The 17,936-nt window shown below is 38.4% G+C and overlaps 1 long non-coding RNA gene and 3 other non-coding genes across 4 annotated transcripts in view, besides 2 other annotated features; 3 read left to right on the top strand and 1 right to left on the bottom strand.

The window, feature by feature from the left end:
• The window catches only part of FTX (FTX transcript, XIST regulator), a 265,439-nt gene that overhangs the window by 66,300 nt on the left and 181,203 nt on the right, over positions 1 to 17,936 (top strand). The gene's annotated exons all lie outside the window — the stretch shown is intronic.
• Positions 4,111 to 4,611: an enhancer, noted in NCBI's record as "H3K4me1 hESC enhancer chrX:73442499-73442999 (GRCh37/hg19 assembly coordinates)". NCBI's record gives its function as "activates a minimal SCP1, AML or CMV promoter by ChIP-STARR-seq in primed H9 embryonic stem cells {active_cell/tissue: H9 hESC(primed)}" and the evidence as "EXISTENCE:reporter gene assay evidence [ECO:0000049][PMID:30033119]".
• Positions 4,612 to 5,112: an enhancer, noted in NCBI's record as "H3K4me1 hESC enhancer chrX:73441998-73442498 (GRCh37/hg19 assembly coordinates)". NCBI's record gives its function as "activates a minimal SCP1, AML or CMV promoter by ChIP-STARR-seq in primed H9 embryonic stem cells {active_cell/tissue: H9 hESC(primed)}" and the evidence as "EXISTENCE:reporter gene assay evidence [ECO:0000049][PMID:30033119]".
• MIR374C (microRNA 374c) lies at positions 8,657 to 8,726 on the bottom strand. The gene has a single exon (NR_037511.1). It is a non-coding gene; the product is annotated as a microRNA 374c (primary transcript).
• On the top strand, positions 8,657 to 8,728 carry MIR374B (microRNA 374b). The gene has a single exon (NR_030620.1). It is a non-coding gene; the product is annotated as a microRNA 374b (primary transcript).
• Positions 8,814 to 8,898, top strand: MIR421 (microRNA 421). Its single transcript, NR_030398.1, has one exon. It is a non-coding gene; the product is annotated as a microRNA 421 (primary transcript).

Genomic DNA, 17,936 nt, shown 5'->3' with positions numbered 1-17,936 from the left:
GATCTTGAACTCCTGGGCTCCAGGAATTCTCCTACTTTGGCCTCCCAAAGTGTTGGGAATATTGGCATGAACCACAGCACCTGACTTGCATATTTGTGAATTCCCCAAATTGCTTTTTTTAAATTGATTTCTAATTTCATTTCATTGTTATGGGGAACATACTTTGTATGGTTTCAATGTTTTAAAATTAATTGAGACTTGTTTTATGACTTAGCATATGGTCTGTGTTGAAGAAGGCTCCATGTACACTTGAGAATAATATGTATACTGTGGTTGTTGGGTGGATTTTCTATGTATGTTTAGGTGATATGGTTTTATAGTGTTGTTTAAGTCTTCTATTTTCTTCTTTTTCTGCCCAGTTTTATTTTTGAAAGCATACTGAGGTCTCCAACTCAGTGCCTTAGCCTCCTGAGCAGTTGGGACTACAGGCATACGCCACTACACCCAGCAATTTTTTTGTATTTTTCTGTAGAGACAGAATTTCACCATGTTGCCTAAGCTGGTCTCAAATTCCTGGACTCAAGTGATCTCGATTCCCGGCCTCTGCCTCCCAAGGTGCTGGGATTGCAGGCATGAGCTACTATGCCTGGCAAATTTTATTTTTCCTTTTATTTTGTCACATAATTAAAGCTACTCCAGAATTCCCTTGATTTCTGCTTGCCTGGTATATCTTTTTTCCATTTTTTAACTGTCAGCCTTTTTTGTGCCTGTTAATCTAAAGTATGTGTTTCGTAGATAATATGTAGCTGGATCATATTTTAAAAATATTTATTCTGCCAAGCTCTGTCTTTTGATTGGAGTATTCTTTCATTTATGTTTGTAATTACTGATGAGGGGGGCACTAATGTCTGCTGTTTTGCTATTTGTTTCCCCATGTCTTATGTCTTCATTACTGACTTTTTTATTAAACAACTATTTTCTTGGGTACCATTTTAAGTCCCTCTCCCACTCATTTTTTAATGTTTTTTTGTGTTTACTTTTGTTTTTATTGTTTGCCCTGATATTAAAATTAACATTTTACCTTGAAATAGTTGGCTTCAGATTAATATCAACTTAGTTTCAATAGCATAGGAAATTTGCTTCACTATATTTCCATTTTCTCCCCGTCCTTTGTGCTATTATTACTATACCAATTAGATCTCTACACAATATAGGCATATCAACACATTTTGTAATTATTTCCTTATCCAGTTGTCTTTTAATATAGATCTGTGAAGAAAAGTATTACACAAATAGATCTATTCTGTTTTTTATAATTATTTAATTACCTTTGGTGGTGCTGTTTATTTTTCATGCATTTGAGTTACTGTCTAGTATTCATTCATTTCTCTCTGAATCACTCCCTTTAGTATTGCTTGTAGGGCAGGTCTGCTAGCATTGAATTCTTTTAATTTTTGTGACTCTTCAAATGCCATAATTTCTCTTTTGTTTGTGAAGGATAGTTTTGCTAGATACAGAATTTGCAGTTGGCATTCTTTTTACTTTAGCAGTTTGAAAATATTTCCCATTGTTGGCCGGGCACAGTGGCTCACACCTGTAATCCTAGCACTTTGGGAGGCCGAGGCAGGCGGATCATCTGAGGTCAGGAGTTCAAGACCAGCCTGGCCAATATGGTGAAACCCTGTTTCTACTAAAATATAAAAATTAGCTGGGCATGATGGCAGGTGCCTCTAATCCCAGCTACTCAGGAGGCTGAGATGGGAGAATCGCTTGAACCCGGGAGATGATGGCTGTGGTGAGCCGAGATAGCGCCGCTGCACTCCAGCCTGGGCGGCTGAGTGAGACTCCATCCCCGAAAAAAAAAAAAGAAAAGAAAAGAAAAAGAAAAAAGAAAAAAAATTATTTCCCATTGTTTTCTGGTCTCTGATTTATGATAAGAAGTCAGCTGATTATCTTATTGAAGATCAGTTAAATGTGATGTTTTTTATTTTGTTTTTTCTCTTGCTGATTTCAAAATTTCTTTCTGACATCTGGCTTTGATGATGTTACTACTATGTGTAAATTTGAATGTCTTTGAGTTTATTTTTAAGACAGGGTTTGGCTCTGTTGCCCAGGCTGGAGTGCAGTGGCACAATCGCAGCTCACTGCGTCCTCCACCTCCCAGGCTCAAGCAATCCTCCCACATCAGCCTTCCGAGTAGCTGGGACTATAGGTGTATGCCACCACGCCCAGCTAATTTTTGTTCTTTTTTTTTTTGGTATAGACAGGGTTTTGCCATGTTGCCCAGGCTGGTCTTGAACTCTTGGGCTCAAGTAATCTGCTCACCTCAGCCTGCCAGTTTATCCTTTCTGGCATTTGTTGGTCTTGCACATATTGATTAATATTTTTGATCAGATTTGGGATTTGGGAGCCATTATTCATTCACATATTTTTTCTGCCCCTTTTCTCTCCTCTCATTATGTTTGTTATATTTACTAAGAGTAATTCTTTTTCATTATTTTATAATAAGAGAACTTATGATAGCATTGGCTGAATTTCCTAAGTAATGTTCTTGTTTTGTTGTTTGCTAAATATGCTTGATTATAACTTATATTTATTCTTTTACTCAATAGTTATTTAGTGTGATGCTTCATGTTGAGGATTTCTGGCTTTCTTTTTCCTCAAAAAAATCATGTTTTTATTTCATTGTAATGAGACAATGTGGGTGCTGTCATTTCCTACATGCTTAGTTTTTAATAACAACCTTATGTTGCAGGACACATCCCTCATTCTTCTTTTTTCCAAAATTTTATCTCATTATCATGTAGTTATTTTATGTGAACTATAGAAACAGCTTGTCGAGTGTTCACAAATATCACTGGAATTTAAATTGGAATGGCCCTGAATTTGTAGATTAATTTTGGGAGAGCTGTCATTTTTACAATCTTCCCATACATTAATGTAATATTTTTCTCCTTTTATTCGGGTCTTCGGTATCTGCGTATGTATATTCTACTTATTACTTTTAATCTCCCCCATTTTCTGGAAAAAAAAGATGTCTTTGGAAGTGCAATTCTGGTGGGAAAAGTGTAGATGTCATCTGCATAGACTAGAGCCAATCAGTAGGGAATGTCATTCAAAATGTGTTTTGTGTTTGATCTTACCATTTCTTTCAAATGTTCCTAGCAGCCTGCATTATTTATAATGTTCTGTATTCCTGGTTTAGGTAAGTCCAGAGGTGAGAGCTGGTATTAGGAAAATGACATAGTAAGGCATTTGTTTTCAGTAATGGCAGCATCCGTTTGACCTCCTTTCCCATTTGGAAGGGCTTTCTCCATCCTGAAAGCTCCTGTAGACTTGGTGCTCTTTTTTTTTTTAGGATTCATACCAGTTGAAGACTTTCAAAGCCTTCAGTGTAACTGGTTATGTTCTTACTAGAAAAGTATTTAGGGCCAGGCGCAGTGGCTCATGCCTGCAATCCCAGCACCTTGGGAGGCCGAGGCAAGTGGATCACTTGAGGTCAGGAGTTCGAGATCAGCCTGGCTAACATGGTGAAACACTGTCTCTACGAAAAGTACAAAAATTAGCCAGTCGGGGTGGTGCGGGCCTGTAGTCCCAGCTACTCAGGAGGCTGAGGCAGGAGAATCGCTTGAACCTGGGAGGTGGAGGTTGCAGTGAGCCGAGATTACACCACTGCACTCCAGCCTGGGAGACAGAGAGAGACTCTGTCAAAAAAAAAAAAAAAGAAAGGAAGGAAGGTAGGTAGGTAGGTGGGTATTTGGGGCCAGCTGGCCTGTAATCCCAGCACTTGGAGGCTGAGGTGGGTGAATCACTTGAGGTCAGGAGTTTGAGACCAGCCTGGCCAACATGGTGAAACCCTGTCACTACTAAAAATACAAAAATTAGCTGGGCGTGGTAGTGCCACTTGTAATCCCAACTACTGGGGAGGCTGGAACCTCGGAGGCGGAGATTGCAGTGGGCTAAGATCGTGCCACTCCAGCCTGAGTGAGACTCCATTTCACAAAAAAAAAAAAAAAAAAAGAAAGGGAAAAAAAGAAAAGAAAAGAAAAAAGTATTTGGAACCAAAGAAGATAAGAATTCTGTTCCATTTGGTAGTTTATTTTAATTCTAAGAGCAACTCTTTGAGAGGAAGCTGGAGGAGAACATCCATGATACGGAGAGGGATCTGAATGTAGATGTTATGAGAAGCATCATAGGAAGTAGAGCTGTTTATATTGTAGGAGAACTCCAAAAAGAAGAATTTGTCTTTGCTTTGTTGTCTTCTGTCTGTTTTCAGATCTCTTATTGGGTCAGGGACAGTTGTCTTTTGCTGCTTTTGAAGGCAGTTCTAATTAATAGAGAAGCAGTTTTAAGGACTCTCCAAAGATGATTCTTGGAAGTGACACCTAGAGGCTTGTATGAACACTGGGAATTGAACTTCAGAATCTCCTTGGGTGGAATGAGTTGGATTACATGCACTCGAAGGTCACTTTTATTCCTGAGATTCTGTGAAGGTCTCGATTGGCAAATGAGTGTGCTACTTTACATGTTCCCATTTAATCATCACACCAACCCTCTGAGGCATGTTAGAGAGGTAGAGTAGGTTTTCTAAGGTAATGTCTAATTAATGGCAGAGCACACTCCCCCACACATATAGCTTAATTCTCCTACATTTGTATAGCCCTTCCTTCTTTCCTTCGTTCCTTCGTTCCTTCCTTCCTTCCTTCCTTCCTTCCTTCCTTCCTTCCTTCCTTCCTTCCTTCCTTCCTTCCTTCCTTCCTTCCTTTCTGCATCTGGCTGTGTTGGCCAGGTTGGTCTTGAACTCCTGGGCTCAAGCAGTCATTCCACCTAAGCCTCCTAAAGTCCTGGGATTGTAGGGGTGAGCCACCGAGCCCAACCTTTTTATTTTTATTTTTAGTTAATTGATTTAGTTTTGTACTTTATTGTTTCTAGAAGCTTTTTACAAACATGGTTTTATTTGACCCTTATAACAGTTTGGTTAGGAATAAGAACAGATTCACCAATGTGTCTAATTTATAGGTGGAAAACAGGCTCAGAAGCTCTTTAGAATATCATGAGAAGAAGGGATGTGGGGAATTATTCAATACAACTTCTGTATTTTGCACTTCAAGAAACTGAGTACCAGAGTTAAAAATCTGGACATTTGGTGGATGTTCTTAGATTTGTGTTAATGCAAGAGGGTTGGATTAGATGATCTCACAGGGTATGGGAATGGATGGTGTGTTCCCTGTATCTACTGTGTAGTGTAAAGTTAATTGATACTAGCTCAACATATTAGATTAAGTGGCATTTTAGCAAACATGAATGAAAGGCACCAAAGGTTTAAGGGGGAATTTAAAACATTAGGTAGCAGCTTGTAGAGGATATATTTAGGGTCATGATGTCCTTCTTGTTGGCCTTAAAAACACTTCCTGCGCCAGGTTCAAGGGTCAATTGGGAACAGGATCAACAGAGGATGAGGGTTTTTTTTTGTTTGTTTTTGTATCATTTTAAGACAAGGTCTCACTCTGTTGCTCAGGCTGGAGTGCGGTGGTACAATCCCAGCTCACTGCAGCCTCCGCCTCCCTGAGCTCAGATGATCCTTCCACCTCTGCCTCCTGGGTAGCTGGGACTGCAGGCACATGTCACCATGCCTGGCTAATTTTTGTATTTTTCGTAGAGATGGGGTTTTGCCATGTTGTCCAGGCTGGTCTTAAACTCCTGGGCTCAAGTGATCTGCCCACCTCAGCCACCGAAAGTGCTGGGATTATAGGTGTCAACCGCCACACCCAACCAAATGAGTTATAAGTTTGTGATCTGTTTTTAGCCTTTGTCCACAACTGTGGGAGTCACCATTCACTCTGTGACATAGGCTCTCAGAATGATGGCTCTCTTGACTGTGGCACTGATCATAGATTTAGAAGCTCCAGTATGGGAGGACCTTAAAAGTCTCCTATCCCAAATAGATTATTTTAAACTAACCCCAGTTCAAGTCCCTGGATAACATACCCAACAAATGGTCTTTTAACTTCTGAGTAAGTTTACTTGGTAACTGGGGACTCCTCCTTGAGTTAGCTTGTCCCTTCTTTTGAGACCTCTTTACAACATTGAGCCCCAAAATGTTTTTCTATAGCTTCAATTCATTCAGCATATTTGTATTGTACCACTACTCAAGAACATTGCTTTATTCTCACTCCTGCATATTCAGCATCTCTCCTCTCTGCTGTCATTTGAGCTGCCAGGCACTGTGCTGGGTAGTGGGGATATGGAGATGAATTAGACACCATCCCCGTCCTCAAGGAGTTCTCAGTCTAGTGAGAGAGATCAACATCTATGTACACATATAATTACAACAATATGGTATGCTCTACAATGGAGGTATGTATAAGATACTCTGGAGTTCAAAGAGAAATCATTTTACAGAGTCTGGAGATGACAGAGCTCAGAGTACCTGGTATATGAGTTGAGTCTTTAAAGAAGTAAAGTCACCTTTTGACTAGGTGAAAAACAGGGAAAGGCTTTCCAAGCAAAAGCATGGACATTGGAAGTAGTATGATGAGTTTGGGGAACTACAAATAGTTCTCTAAATTAGGTTGGAAATGTAGGCCAGGAATAGAACTTTATATGGTATGCCATGGGATTTGGATTTCATTATAAGTGTTTTCAGAAAGGGATGCTTTTAGATGATCACTGGCAGTAGTGTGGGGTGTGTTCAGGAATGTTTTCAAATCTGGACAGGGAGATGAGTTAGAAGGATACTGTGGTGGCTAAGATGAGAAATGATGTAGGGCTGAAAGGAGTGGGAGTGGCGAAGAGGGGATAACCTCTTAGGAAGTTATAAAAATTTAGTCATGCATTGCTTAGCAATGGGGATATGTTCTGAGAAGTGTATTGTTAGGCGATTTTGTCATGTGAACTTCATAGAGTATATTAACACAAACCTCTCTAAATGGTATAGCCTATTACACACCTAGGCTACAAACCTGTACAGCATATGACTGTACTGAATACTGTAGGCAATTATAACAGAATGGTAAGTATTTGTGTACCTAAACATATATAAACATAGAAAAGCTACAGTAAAAATATGATATGATTTTGTGGTGGGACAACTGTGGGACAACTGTCATATATGAGGTTCATCATTGTCCTAAACATTGTTAGGCAGCACATGACTGTATAGACATAATAGAACTTATAGGAAAAGTTATAGAAAAACTTATAGAAAAAGACCTTGATGAAAAATACTGTCATATTCTTTGGATGAATGTTGCAATTAACTCCTTTTAGATCATAACTTGACTGTACAGATTGTGCAAGATTGTTTTCTGGGAACAGCTGTATATGAAATGTTGATTCTCAGGGAGACACCTAGACACCTGAATTGCAGCAGACATTTTATGGTGTTGCTAAGTTGCTGGTCCTTCTCATCAGTAGCAGGCCTACTCTCACTGTCACATATCTCCCACGGTTTTTTTTTTTTTTTTTTTTTTTTTTTTTGTAATTAACCAAAAGTGAAGGCTTTTATATCAAAGACTCAATTGAGGAAGCAGTGGCCTTAGTCATTATTGGCATAATTGCTTTAGTTTGCTTATGGATCTTAAAACGTTTATGACTATATCTGCAAGTAAAAAAAAAATTCAATAATTAAAAACCTAAACATATCGAGTGTTTATTTTCTCTTTTTGCAAAGGTATATTCTAAACTCAATGTTCTTCGGGAAATTTTCCAATTAAGGCTCTGAGTATTGATATTTGGGATTTAGAGAATGGCTTTCTATGACCAGAATGGTTAGTGATGAGATTTTATGTAAGTAGGACTGGGTTTTTCAGGGGGCCTTGTGTAACTTGCCATCAAGAGTTGGGAAAGGAGGCCCTGAGCAGTGCAGCAGAGCTATGTAAAGTGAGAGTTTGGGTCTTGGGACCAGGTAGCCTGGGCTCAAATCTGCTCTCACACTTAGCAATGTGGTCTTGAGCATGATTCTTCACTTCCCCAGGACTCTGTTTTCTCTTATGTAAAATAGGAATAATATTTATTTTCAATGATGGGGGTAAAAAGTACTTAAAGGGACTAATTATGTAAATTGCTTAGAACAGGCCTGGAATATACAGCTAAATGCTGTGTCAACTGTTGTTGCTGATAATGGTGTTGACTATGACAAGTATTAAAAGAAGAGATTTGACTAGAGGTACTTATATTTTGAATGATCAGTGACGATGTTAGGGTTGAGAAAGAAAAACAGTAACTGACTTGAAGGTTTTCAATGGTATGTAAGTGTGAGGTCATTTCACCTTTTATTTCTCTGCCAGGTAGAGTGGGAAACCAAATTAATCACTCCATGATCTAGTGACTAATCTATTGCCTTTGCTTTTAGTTCCAAATAGAAAGCTGTTGAAAAGTTGTTGTATTACACCTGCATAAAGGTTATCCTGAAAACAGAAAAATGCATTAGACTTTGTCAAAACTGGATTTGAAACCTAATTCAACTGCTTGCTGGCTGTGTGACTTAAACTTGTTGAACTTCAGTTTCTTCCTCTAATATAACTATTAATTTTCAGAGTTTCCATGAAGATATTTGTAAAGTGTTTGTCATAGGCACTCTATACATTAATTACAGCTATTATTGTTAGATCTTGGGACACCCAGCACGTGACAAAAACAACAGCAGACCCTGGTGCCTGGGAGGACTTCATGGATCCAGCAGCAACCTGGAGTGGTGCTCCTCTGAAGAAATCCTACTCGGATGGATATAATACAACCTGCTAAGTGTCCTAGCACTTAGCAGGTTGTATTATCATTGTCCGTGTCTATGGCTCTCGTCTACCAGACTTTAAATTCCTTAAGGGCAAGGACAGTGCCTTACTCATCTTTGTATTCACAGTGCCTAATCCGGTGCACATTGTAGGCCTCATTAAATGTTTGTTGAATGAAAAAATGAATCATCAACAGACATTAATTGGGCGCCTGCTCTGTGATCTCCATGGGCTCAGCTTGTCCCCGCCAGTTGCCAACAACGTCCAAGCTCTCTTCAGAATGCTTACTCCTGAAGCTTATTCCTGTCTTCTAATTCTTTTGTTGAGGACTTTTCTGTGTAGTGCAATGATAGCAAATACACTTCATCTCAAGTACCATCTCCAATTGATTGATAATGCCTGCCCTGATTATGTTTTATAACAAGATTCTGAAACCAGGTCTTATCTCAGTGTGAAAGACATTTATAACTATTTAGTGATGTCTGCTGAGGGTCGGAGAAGGGGGAGTAGCAGCACAAGTGCCTCATATGTCATATTTGCTACTCTGTTTTCTATGAAATACTTCATTTCTATGCCTGCATTTTGGTCTTAGCTACTTGCTGATGTTGCATGGCTGTTGCTGCTACTGTAATTGCTGCTAATTGCTCCCTGGGTTGGACCAGAGTGCTCATTGTCTGAACAGAAACCTCATCCTCACAGTCTGAGGTTTGCTCCTGTGGCTGATATTTAAAGTTTTCCCCTTTCAACTTTACTCCAGCTATCCCCTTACCTGCACTGACAGGTAATCCTCCACCGTCCTGTTCACCTCTCACCAGGTTCATATTTTCTTTATCTTATTTATTGTACTTAATCATTATTTTGTGAGAAGCTTTTCTGATTGTAGATGTGACAACCAGAATACAAGTTAAAACCACTTATCCAGCGCCTTACAGTGAATCATTTAACATGAGAAAAAAATTGAGTGTGTTTGCAGACCATGGGGCAGAAGGAATTGAGAAGGGAGTCATTGTAGATGTGAGAAAGAGAGAGATGATAATAGATGGAAGATGATCTTGAAAGATGATGCAGGTGAAGCTGGAAGGGTGAAATTTATGGCTCTAGAACACATGCAGGTGGAGGGTTAGCCTTAGGTAAGTGGAACTACCTCTTTGCTGGAGCACAGAGATAGGGATAGGAGTAAGGAAGAGGACTTGGCAAGGGTGGTGAAGATTTGTAATTGTAGAGGTGGATGATGGGGAGGAAGCTGACCAGGAACAGGAATATGAAGACAAAAGCTGCTGGAACAGAAATACTAGAGGGCTAAATATGAACCAGAGTCCCTAAGGAATATTCAGGCCAAAACGCTGGAGTGAGACCATTAACAGGAGAGCTTATGGTATATCAAAGTAAGAAATGAGTTTGAAACTGGGTTAGAAGCTCAGGAAAATATGAAGTGGTTTTGGGGCATTGTCACTAGCAGTATTTGGTTGCCTTGATTGATTGAGGGGTGGACAGCTAGCAAGAGACGAGTTACACAGAAATGGATTTAAGAATCCAAACTAAGGCCGGGCGCGGTGGCCCACACCTGTAATCACAGCACTTTGGAAGGCCAAGGTGGGCAGGTCACCTGAGGTCAGGAGTTCGAGACCAGCCTGACCAACATGGTGAAACCCTGTCTCTACTAAAAATGCAAAAATTAGCCAGGTGTGGTGGCACATGCCTGTAATCCCAGCTACTCAGGAGGCTGAGGCAGGAGAATCACTTGAACCCAGGAGGCGGAGGTTGCAGTGAGCCGAGATCCCACCCACTGTACTCCAGCCTGGGTAACAGAGTGAGACTTCATTTAAAAAAAAAAATCCAACCTGGACATGGAAGGAAGTAAGGTCAGGAGTGGCCTCAGTCTGGGCCAAAAAGAGGCTTTAATGTGAACAAGGTGAGTGCTGAGTAATTGGAAAACTGGAGTGATAGGACCTGTAATCAGAGTAGACTTTGGAGTGTTAGATTTCAAAACTGGAGTGGTTAAGATACCTGTGAAGCTAGGATGTCAGATGATCATTTACATGACTATTATAGTAACCCAGGATTATAGTAGAAGCTAGGCTTAGAATGAACACTGGGCCAGGTACAAAAGGCTTCAGTGACTGTGAGGAATGACTTGGAGGTTGGCACATGTTAACTGCAAATACTAGAGAAGAAAGGCTGTAGTGGGATAGTAGATGAGCCTTAGAAGAGTGGGGGGATCCAGGTGATTCCTTCTTTTATTGAGTATTTGCTCTATGCCTGACACCTTGCTATATGCCATCTGTTCCCTCTTTTGGGTCTGTCACACTTCAGGAGTGGGAGAATGCGCAAGAATTCCTGGTGAGAACAGCTAGGGGAGCTGTTGGCCTTTAGCACTGCTGGAATCCTGTGGCCGTCTCCTAACTCTTTCAAAGAGCTGCAGGCTGGTCAGCTTGAAGTGGCATAAAAAGATTTATTTAGGATCTAAATTTTTCCTTGATCTTGACCTAAGTTAGTTACATGTTACAAGCATTTGTTGGCCATGTTCCATAATGTACTTTGGCTTCTGAGCCTCTGAGTTGAAGAGTGAGCTAGTGCTGCTCTTAAAAAACAACAACAAAAACAAAAAACCAGTCATAGTACACACATGTTGATTAACCGGAGCAAGACACAATCCTATTAATTCAGCTTTTTAGGATAAAGGGTAGACAAAAGAAAGCTCACATCAATAGGTGAGTAACAACTACTTTGTAAAAGCCACTCTAGGGTCAGAATACATCCAGTTTAGTGGTCCATATTGTAGAATTTCCCTGTGCTGTTAGGGAAGAGGGCTGGCAATTGAGGCACAGAGATGGCCTTAAGGACAAGGAAGGTAAAGCTTAGGAGAAGAGAGTCTATAAAACCTCTGACATGGCATGCAGACATTTTTCTTTTGAGTACATTTTACTGGGGAGAGGATCCATGTCTTTTATATTCTCCAAATGACTCAATATTCCAAAAGAAGTTTAAGAACTACTGTGTTAAAGTGATCAGGCCCTCAGACAACCCATCCCCTCTTGTAGGGGCTGCTTTGTATTTATTCCTCAGGAGGAGCTGGTAGAAGACTTAATGTGAGGGAGAAGAAAAGGAAAGAAGTAGCGGGGGATGACTACAACCTCTCTTCATCTCAGCTTCACAAAGCATCATTCAACAAATGGATCACTATTAAGATCCTCTCCAGATCACAGGTTGCTATTTTCAAATGCATGCTTAGATTTCTCTTTTCTCTTGTCGCATTTCAGAAGTTACTGTACTCACCGATATGTGTATATGAATAGTTACTTCCCATACAGCTCCCCATGTTTACGGGAAAAAAAATTCTTAAAACATGGTAGAGTACTTGCTCTGTTTGGCCTTCAATAATGTTGTGGATCCCCACTGCTGGAATATAGGCCACCAGAGATGGGTTTGGATTTCAGCAATAAATGACCCAGCTTCATAGAAGGAGAGTAGTCAGCTGATTTGAAAGTAAACCCAATCCTTGTGCTCATATTTGTTTACTTTTTCCTTAAGCCTTATAAGTAAGACATATCACTGATGAGATCAAACAAAAGCCATAACTTTCTCCTTCCACTGGCACTTTTCTTTCCCACGTATATGCCTTTGGGAGCCACCCTCTTCTTTCATTTGCACTTTCGTCCCATCACTTAAGACCCAGAGAGGCATGAATGCTAAGGTTGAGGTTGAATTTGTCATAGTTATGGCTGGAGTTGAAAAATACTCAAATTGATTACTCTGATGCCCACGCCTTACCTGATCTCATATCAGCCATTGGAGATGTAGTCAAGGCCAGCAACTCTGCGAACTCCAGCCCCAGGATTTATGCCTGATGTCTCAACTGATCATGAAATACTGGTAGGAGGGCTTTCCCCATCCCAGGTCCCCCTTCTGATTTGGTCATCAGATATGTCCTTGTTTTAGGACATACAGATATGAACAGAAACAATATCAGGAGTCCTGGTTAGTTTTTGTCTCTCGAGGATGGGCAGGATAGGTTATAAGGGAAGTGGAAATTCTTGTGTGTTTCAAATACATTCCTTCTTTGTGGCGGGGAGATGGAGTCTTGCTCTGTCGCCCAAGCTGGAGTGTAGTGGCGCCATCTTGTCATCTTGGCTCACTGCAACCTCTGCCTCCTGAGTTCAAGCAATTCTACTGCCTCAGTCTCTCAAGTAGCTGGGACTATAAGCACATGGCACCACACCCAGCTAATTTTTGTATTTTTAGTAGAGATGGGGTTTCACCATGTTGGCCAGGCTGGTCTTGAACTCCTGACCTCAAGTGATCTGCCTGCCTTCGGCCTCCCAAAGTGCTGGGATTACAGGCGTTAGCCACTGTGCCTGAGTCAAATACATTCCTAATGAATCCCCAGGAGACCTTTGCTCACATCTTCTGTCACCTTATCCTGGCTCTTGCCTCATTTTTCTTTTCTAGAGTCATCCTAGGGAATTTCTTGCCCTCACTGACCTTCCTCCATTTCTTTCCCCACCTTGATGAGTTTCAGTAGGTCTTTTTTGCTTTCTCTCGTCCTAAGCCATTTGTCTCTAACAAGTCCCCATCTGAAAGTTTTATTGTGAATGAGTGAATGAAACCTTAGAGAGTGTTGCGAGTTACATTCATGTTGCCCTTGGATATAAAAAGAGAGGCAGATGCATTTGCTTTTGGGGTCTTAGTCGTGAATCCTTTGCCTAGGCCAATGTCCAGAAAAGTTTTTCCTGGTTATACTGTAGAAATGTCATGGTTTCGGGTCTTAGATTTAAGTCATTGTTCTATTTTGAGTTGATTTTTGTATAAGGTAAGAGAGATGGATTCAGTTTCATTCTTCTACATGTGGGCTATCTACTTTTCCCAGCACCATTTATTAAGTAGGATGTTGTTTCCCCAGTTTATATTTTTGTGTGCTTAGTTAACGATCAGTTGGTTGTAAATAGTTGGCTGTATTTCTGGGTTCTCTATTCTGTTCCATTGGTCTATGTGTCTACTTTTATACCAGTACCACGGGTACACTAAAATCTCAGACTTCACCACTATACAATTCATCCATGTAACCAAAAACCACTTTTACCCCAAAAGTTACTGAAATAAGTATTTTTAAAGATTTTAAAAAATAGAGAGGAAAGAGGAGGCTATGAAATTCCATAATGGAGTTACAGATGCTTGACATAATTTAGTGGATATTGGATTTAGAAGCTTACATGAATGAGGCAAACCTGAGATCTGTGATATTTGTAAATGAAGATAGGAGTGAACTTACTGCCCTTAGGAGTGGAGGGAGGGAAGGAAGGGAGAAAATGAGAGATGCCATAAAATCTATTACTTCAATGGATTTGAAGTAATCCTTTGAAGCAGGCAGTGAGACTTACTTCATAAATCCATACCTTTTTAATGTGGATTGGAGAGAAGTTGTTGCGCTGTAATACCTCTGTTGCTACTGTGAGAGTCATTGCCAGCCACTATTCTCATGTCAAGCTGCCCTTGAGGAGGTTTCTCTTGACCCAATTTAGAAACAACCCAAAACAAGGTTTGTAACTTAGAGGAATTCTTTGATTCTGTGACAAGGGGTCTGTGACCCTCTTAAAGGGATCAAGTACACAGGAGATAGTACAAGTAGTACTAAATAGCCAGCTTAAAAAATTGGATAGGTGAGATGAGACAGGAACAGTGGACAGAATGGCTCTAGGCATCCCCAAACACCACATCTGGGATAAGGAAATAGTACAATGGAAAGTCTATCCTTGGACCTACTATTTGTCATTCCCCATGGCATGATGGAATATCTAAAATAAAAAGAGTTGCTTTGGAGAAGGATTGCAAAATATTATTTCATAGAAGAGATTTAGAAGAGGGGAAACTCCCAATTACATAAGGTGGGCATTATAGCTTCTCAAAACATTGGTTCCCTATATGGGTCATGAAGATTGATCCCAGTATCAGCCTATGGCTTACTAGGCCAGTTTAACTGAAAGATTTAATGAGCTTGGAAGGATGCTGCCACCTGCACTCTCACTTTGGCGGGTGTTTATCACCAGTGAGTGCGGTCCCTAAAGGAGCAAAAGGACAATAAGCACCCAGTGGACAACAGTGTGGCATTTTGAGTGAAGATAGCAACTGAAAAGGTCATCGGCTTGGCTAGATTGGGCTGGGCTTGTTTTTTAAAAATAAAAAAAAAGTTTTCCTTCATGATAAAAGTAACAGGTGATCATTGTTAAAAAATAAAGTATGAATTAAAAAGTAAATAATATGTATAATTTTATAAGCCAGAAAACTAATTTGTAATATTCAGGTGTATGTCCTTTCATTCTTTTTAAAAATTATGTATATAACACAGTTTTATAACAAAATTGACATCATATTGTATATATCATTTTATTATCTAATTTTTTCATTTGAAAATTCACAAGCATATTTCCATGTTATTGTTCTTTGAAAAATACAATATTAAGTGCTCCATAATATCTTATGGATTTAACAAAGTTTATTTAGATGATGTCATGTTATTGGACATTTTGATTATTACCAAGTTTGCGTATAAAATTTAAATGTAATGAACATCATTGTACATTAACCTTTATGCACATCTGGAATTATTTCTTTAGAATAAGGTTCCAGAATTAAAATTATTTAGTTTGGATGATGAGAGCATTTATTAGAGCATCTGACAGGTGATGCTGAATTTTCCTCAATACAGTTGTGCAAATTGCATTCCCACCAGTAGTGTATAAATGTGAATATCCCTCCATATATTCATCAAAACATGGCCTTTCTAATTTTGTAAATCTCTGCTAATTTAATAGGTAAAAATATACCTTTGTTGCTTTAAAATTTTTATTTCTAATTTACACACAGTAAAATTCACTCTTTTTAGTATATGGTTCTATGGGTTTTGACAAATGCACAGTCATGTATCTTCTACACTAGTACCATACAGAGAAGTTCTGTCACTTTAATAATTTCTCTTGGTGGCTCTTTTTGTATTCAACCCCTTACCCCATACTCAATCTCTGGAAACCATCAATTTATTCTTCATCCCTATGGTTTTGCCTTTTCCAGAAGGTCATATAAGTGGAATCAAGCAATATGTAGCCCTTTTGGTCTGGCTTCTTTCACTTAGTAAAACGCAGTCAAGATTCTCCCATGTTTTGTGGATAATTATTTCATTCCTTTTTATCACTGAGTAGTACTTCATTGTGTGGATGTACCACAGTTTTATTATCCATTCACTAACTGATGAACTTGTAAGATGTTTCTAGTTTTGGTGAATATGAACAAATTTGCTATAAACTTTCAGGTATAAGTTTTGTGTGATAAATGCTCATTTTTATAGGGTAAATGCTTTGGAGTGGGAATGAGTGCCAGACTGTTTTCTAAAGTTTCCCTAGCATTTTGCATTCCAATTACAAATATGTGAGAGTTCCAGTAGCTTTGTATCTTTACCAGTATTTAGTAATTTTGTATTATACATATATATGTATGTAAATATATATATATATTCATTTAAATTTTAATCATTGTTAGAATTTGTAATTCCCCAATGATATATGGTATTATCTTTTATTTGTTTATAATTGACACATAATTATTTATGGGATACATTGTGATGTTTCAGTACATGTGTACATTGTATAATGATCAAATCAGGATATCACCTCAAACCTTATGATGATCTTACAGTTAAAGATGATATATTCTTGCAAAGTGTCTGTTCAGATCTTTTGCTCCCCTTTTTATTGGATTATTCCTTTTCTTACTGTTTTTATATGTTTTTTAATATATTGATACAAATCCTTTGTCAGATACATTATTTGGAAATAGATTTTCCTAGTCTGTGACTTGTCTTTTCATTCTTTGAACACTGACTTTTTTAGAGCAAAAATTTTAATTTTGATACAATTCACTTTATCAATTTTTTTACTTTTGATGTGCAATGTAAGAACACTTGTCTAACCCAATGTCATGAAGATTATATATTATTTTCATCCAGGAATTTTATAGTTTTAAGTTTTACATTTATATCTATGATACTTTTTGAATAAAGGTTTGTATAAAGTTTAGCTATGGGTCAAGGTTCAGTTTTTAAAATATGGCTATCTAATTGTTCTAGTACCATTTGTTGAAAAGATTGTTTCTTTTTTATTGCATTGCTTTTGCACTTCTGTCAAAAAATCAATTGATTATATTTGTTTGGGTCTAATTCTGGGCTGCCTATTCTGTTCCATTGTTATCCATTCACAAATACCACACTTTCCTAATCATAGGAAGTCTTAAAATTAGATAGTGTGTACAACTTCGTCCGTCTCAAAAATCGTGTTGATTACTACTTTGCTTTTCCAGAAATTTTAGAATTGTTGCTTTCTATAAAAAATTCTGCTAGTATATCTGTTGAGTTAGAACTATAGATGAATTTGAAGAAAATTTACATCCTCACAATATTTTGTCTTTAGGCCACAAACATGATATAGCTGTATATTTATTTTGGTCTTGCTTTTTTTTCCACTTTCAGCATACAGATCCTGGACATATTTTATATTTATACCAAATATTTTATATATTTTCTACTGTTGTCAATGGTAGTGGTTTTTAAATTTTCAAACATTCATTACTAGTATATAGAAATAAAATCACTTTTTAAAAATGTAATGGCGTTTATTGTTTTTCAATTTAATAAACCACATTTAGACAACACAATGATTAAAAATGTTGACAATTGGGACGATGTAAATGTAAAGGTAAAGGTAACAATTTTTACCTTGATAATATAAAGGTAAAAATGTAGTAGACAGTATATGGGGACAGAAGAGGAAGTGTGTAGGAAGGGCAGAGTGGGAATATTAATAGCATCATCTTTTATAGAGAGAACACACTGATGTGATTGAACACCAAATAGGGGTATATGCATCTGAAAGTCACTTTTGGTATGTTGACCTTGTATCCTGCAACTTTGCTAAACTCATTTATTATATGAACTTTTATGTATATTTCTTGGCATTTTCTACATACAGTGGTGTCTGTATAGTTTACTATTTACATGTGAATATGGATAGTTTAATTTCTTCCTTTCCAATTTGCTTGCCTTTTATGTCTTCTTGAAATACTGCGTTGGCTAAGACTTGCAGTAAGAAGTTAAAAGGGAATGTTTGGAGCACACGTATTTGCCAAGTCTCTGATCTTAGTGTGGCTGGGGGGAAGCATTTAGTATTTCATTAAGTATGATGTTAGCTATAGGTTTTTTGTAGATATTCTTTATCAGTT

This window comes from Homo sapiens, chromosome X, assembly GCF_000001405.40.
Source record: "Homo sapiens chromosome X, GRCh38.p14 Primary Assembly".
Lineage (NCBI taxonomy): Eukaryota > Metazoa > Chordata > Mammalia > Primates > Hominidae > Homo > Homo sapiens.
The sequence above is the reverse complement of the archived record's forward strand: the minus strand, read 5'-3'. Positions and strand labels throughout refer to the sequence as shown.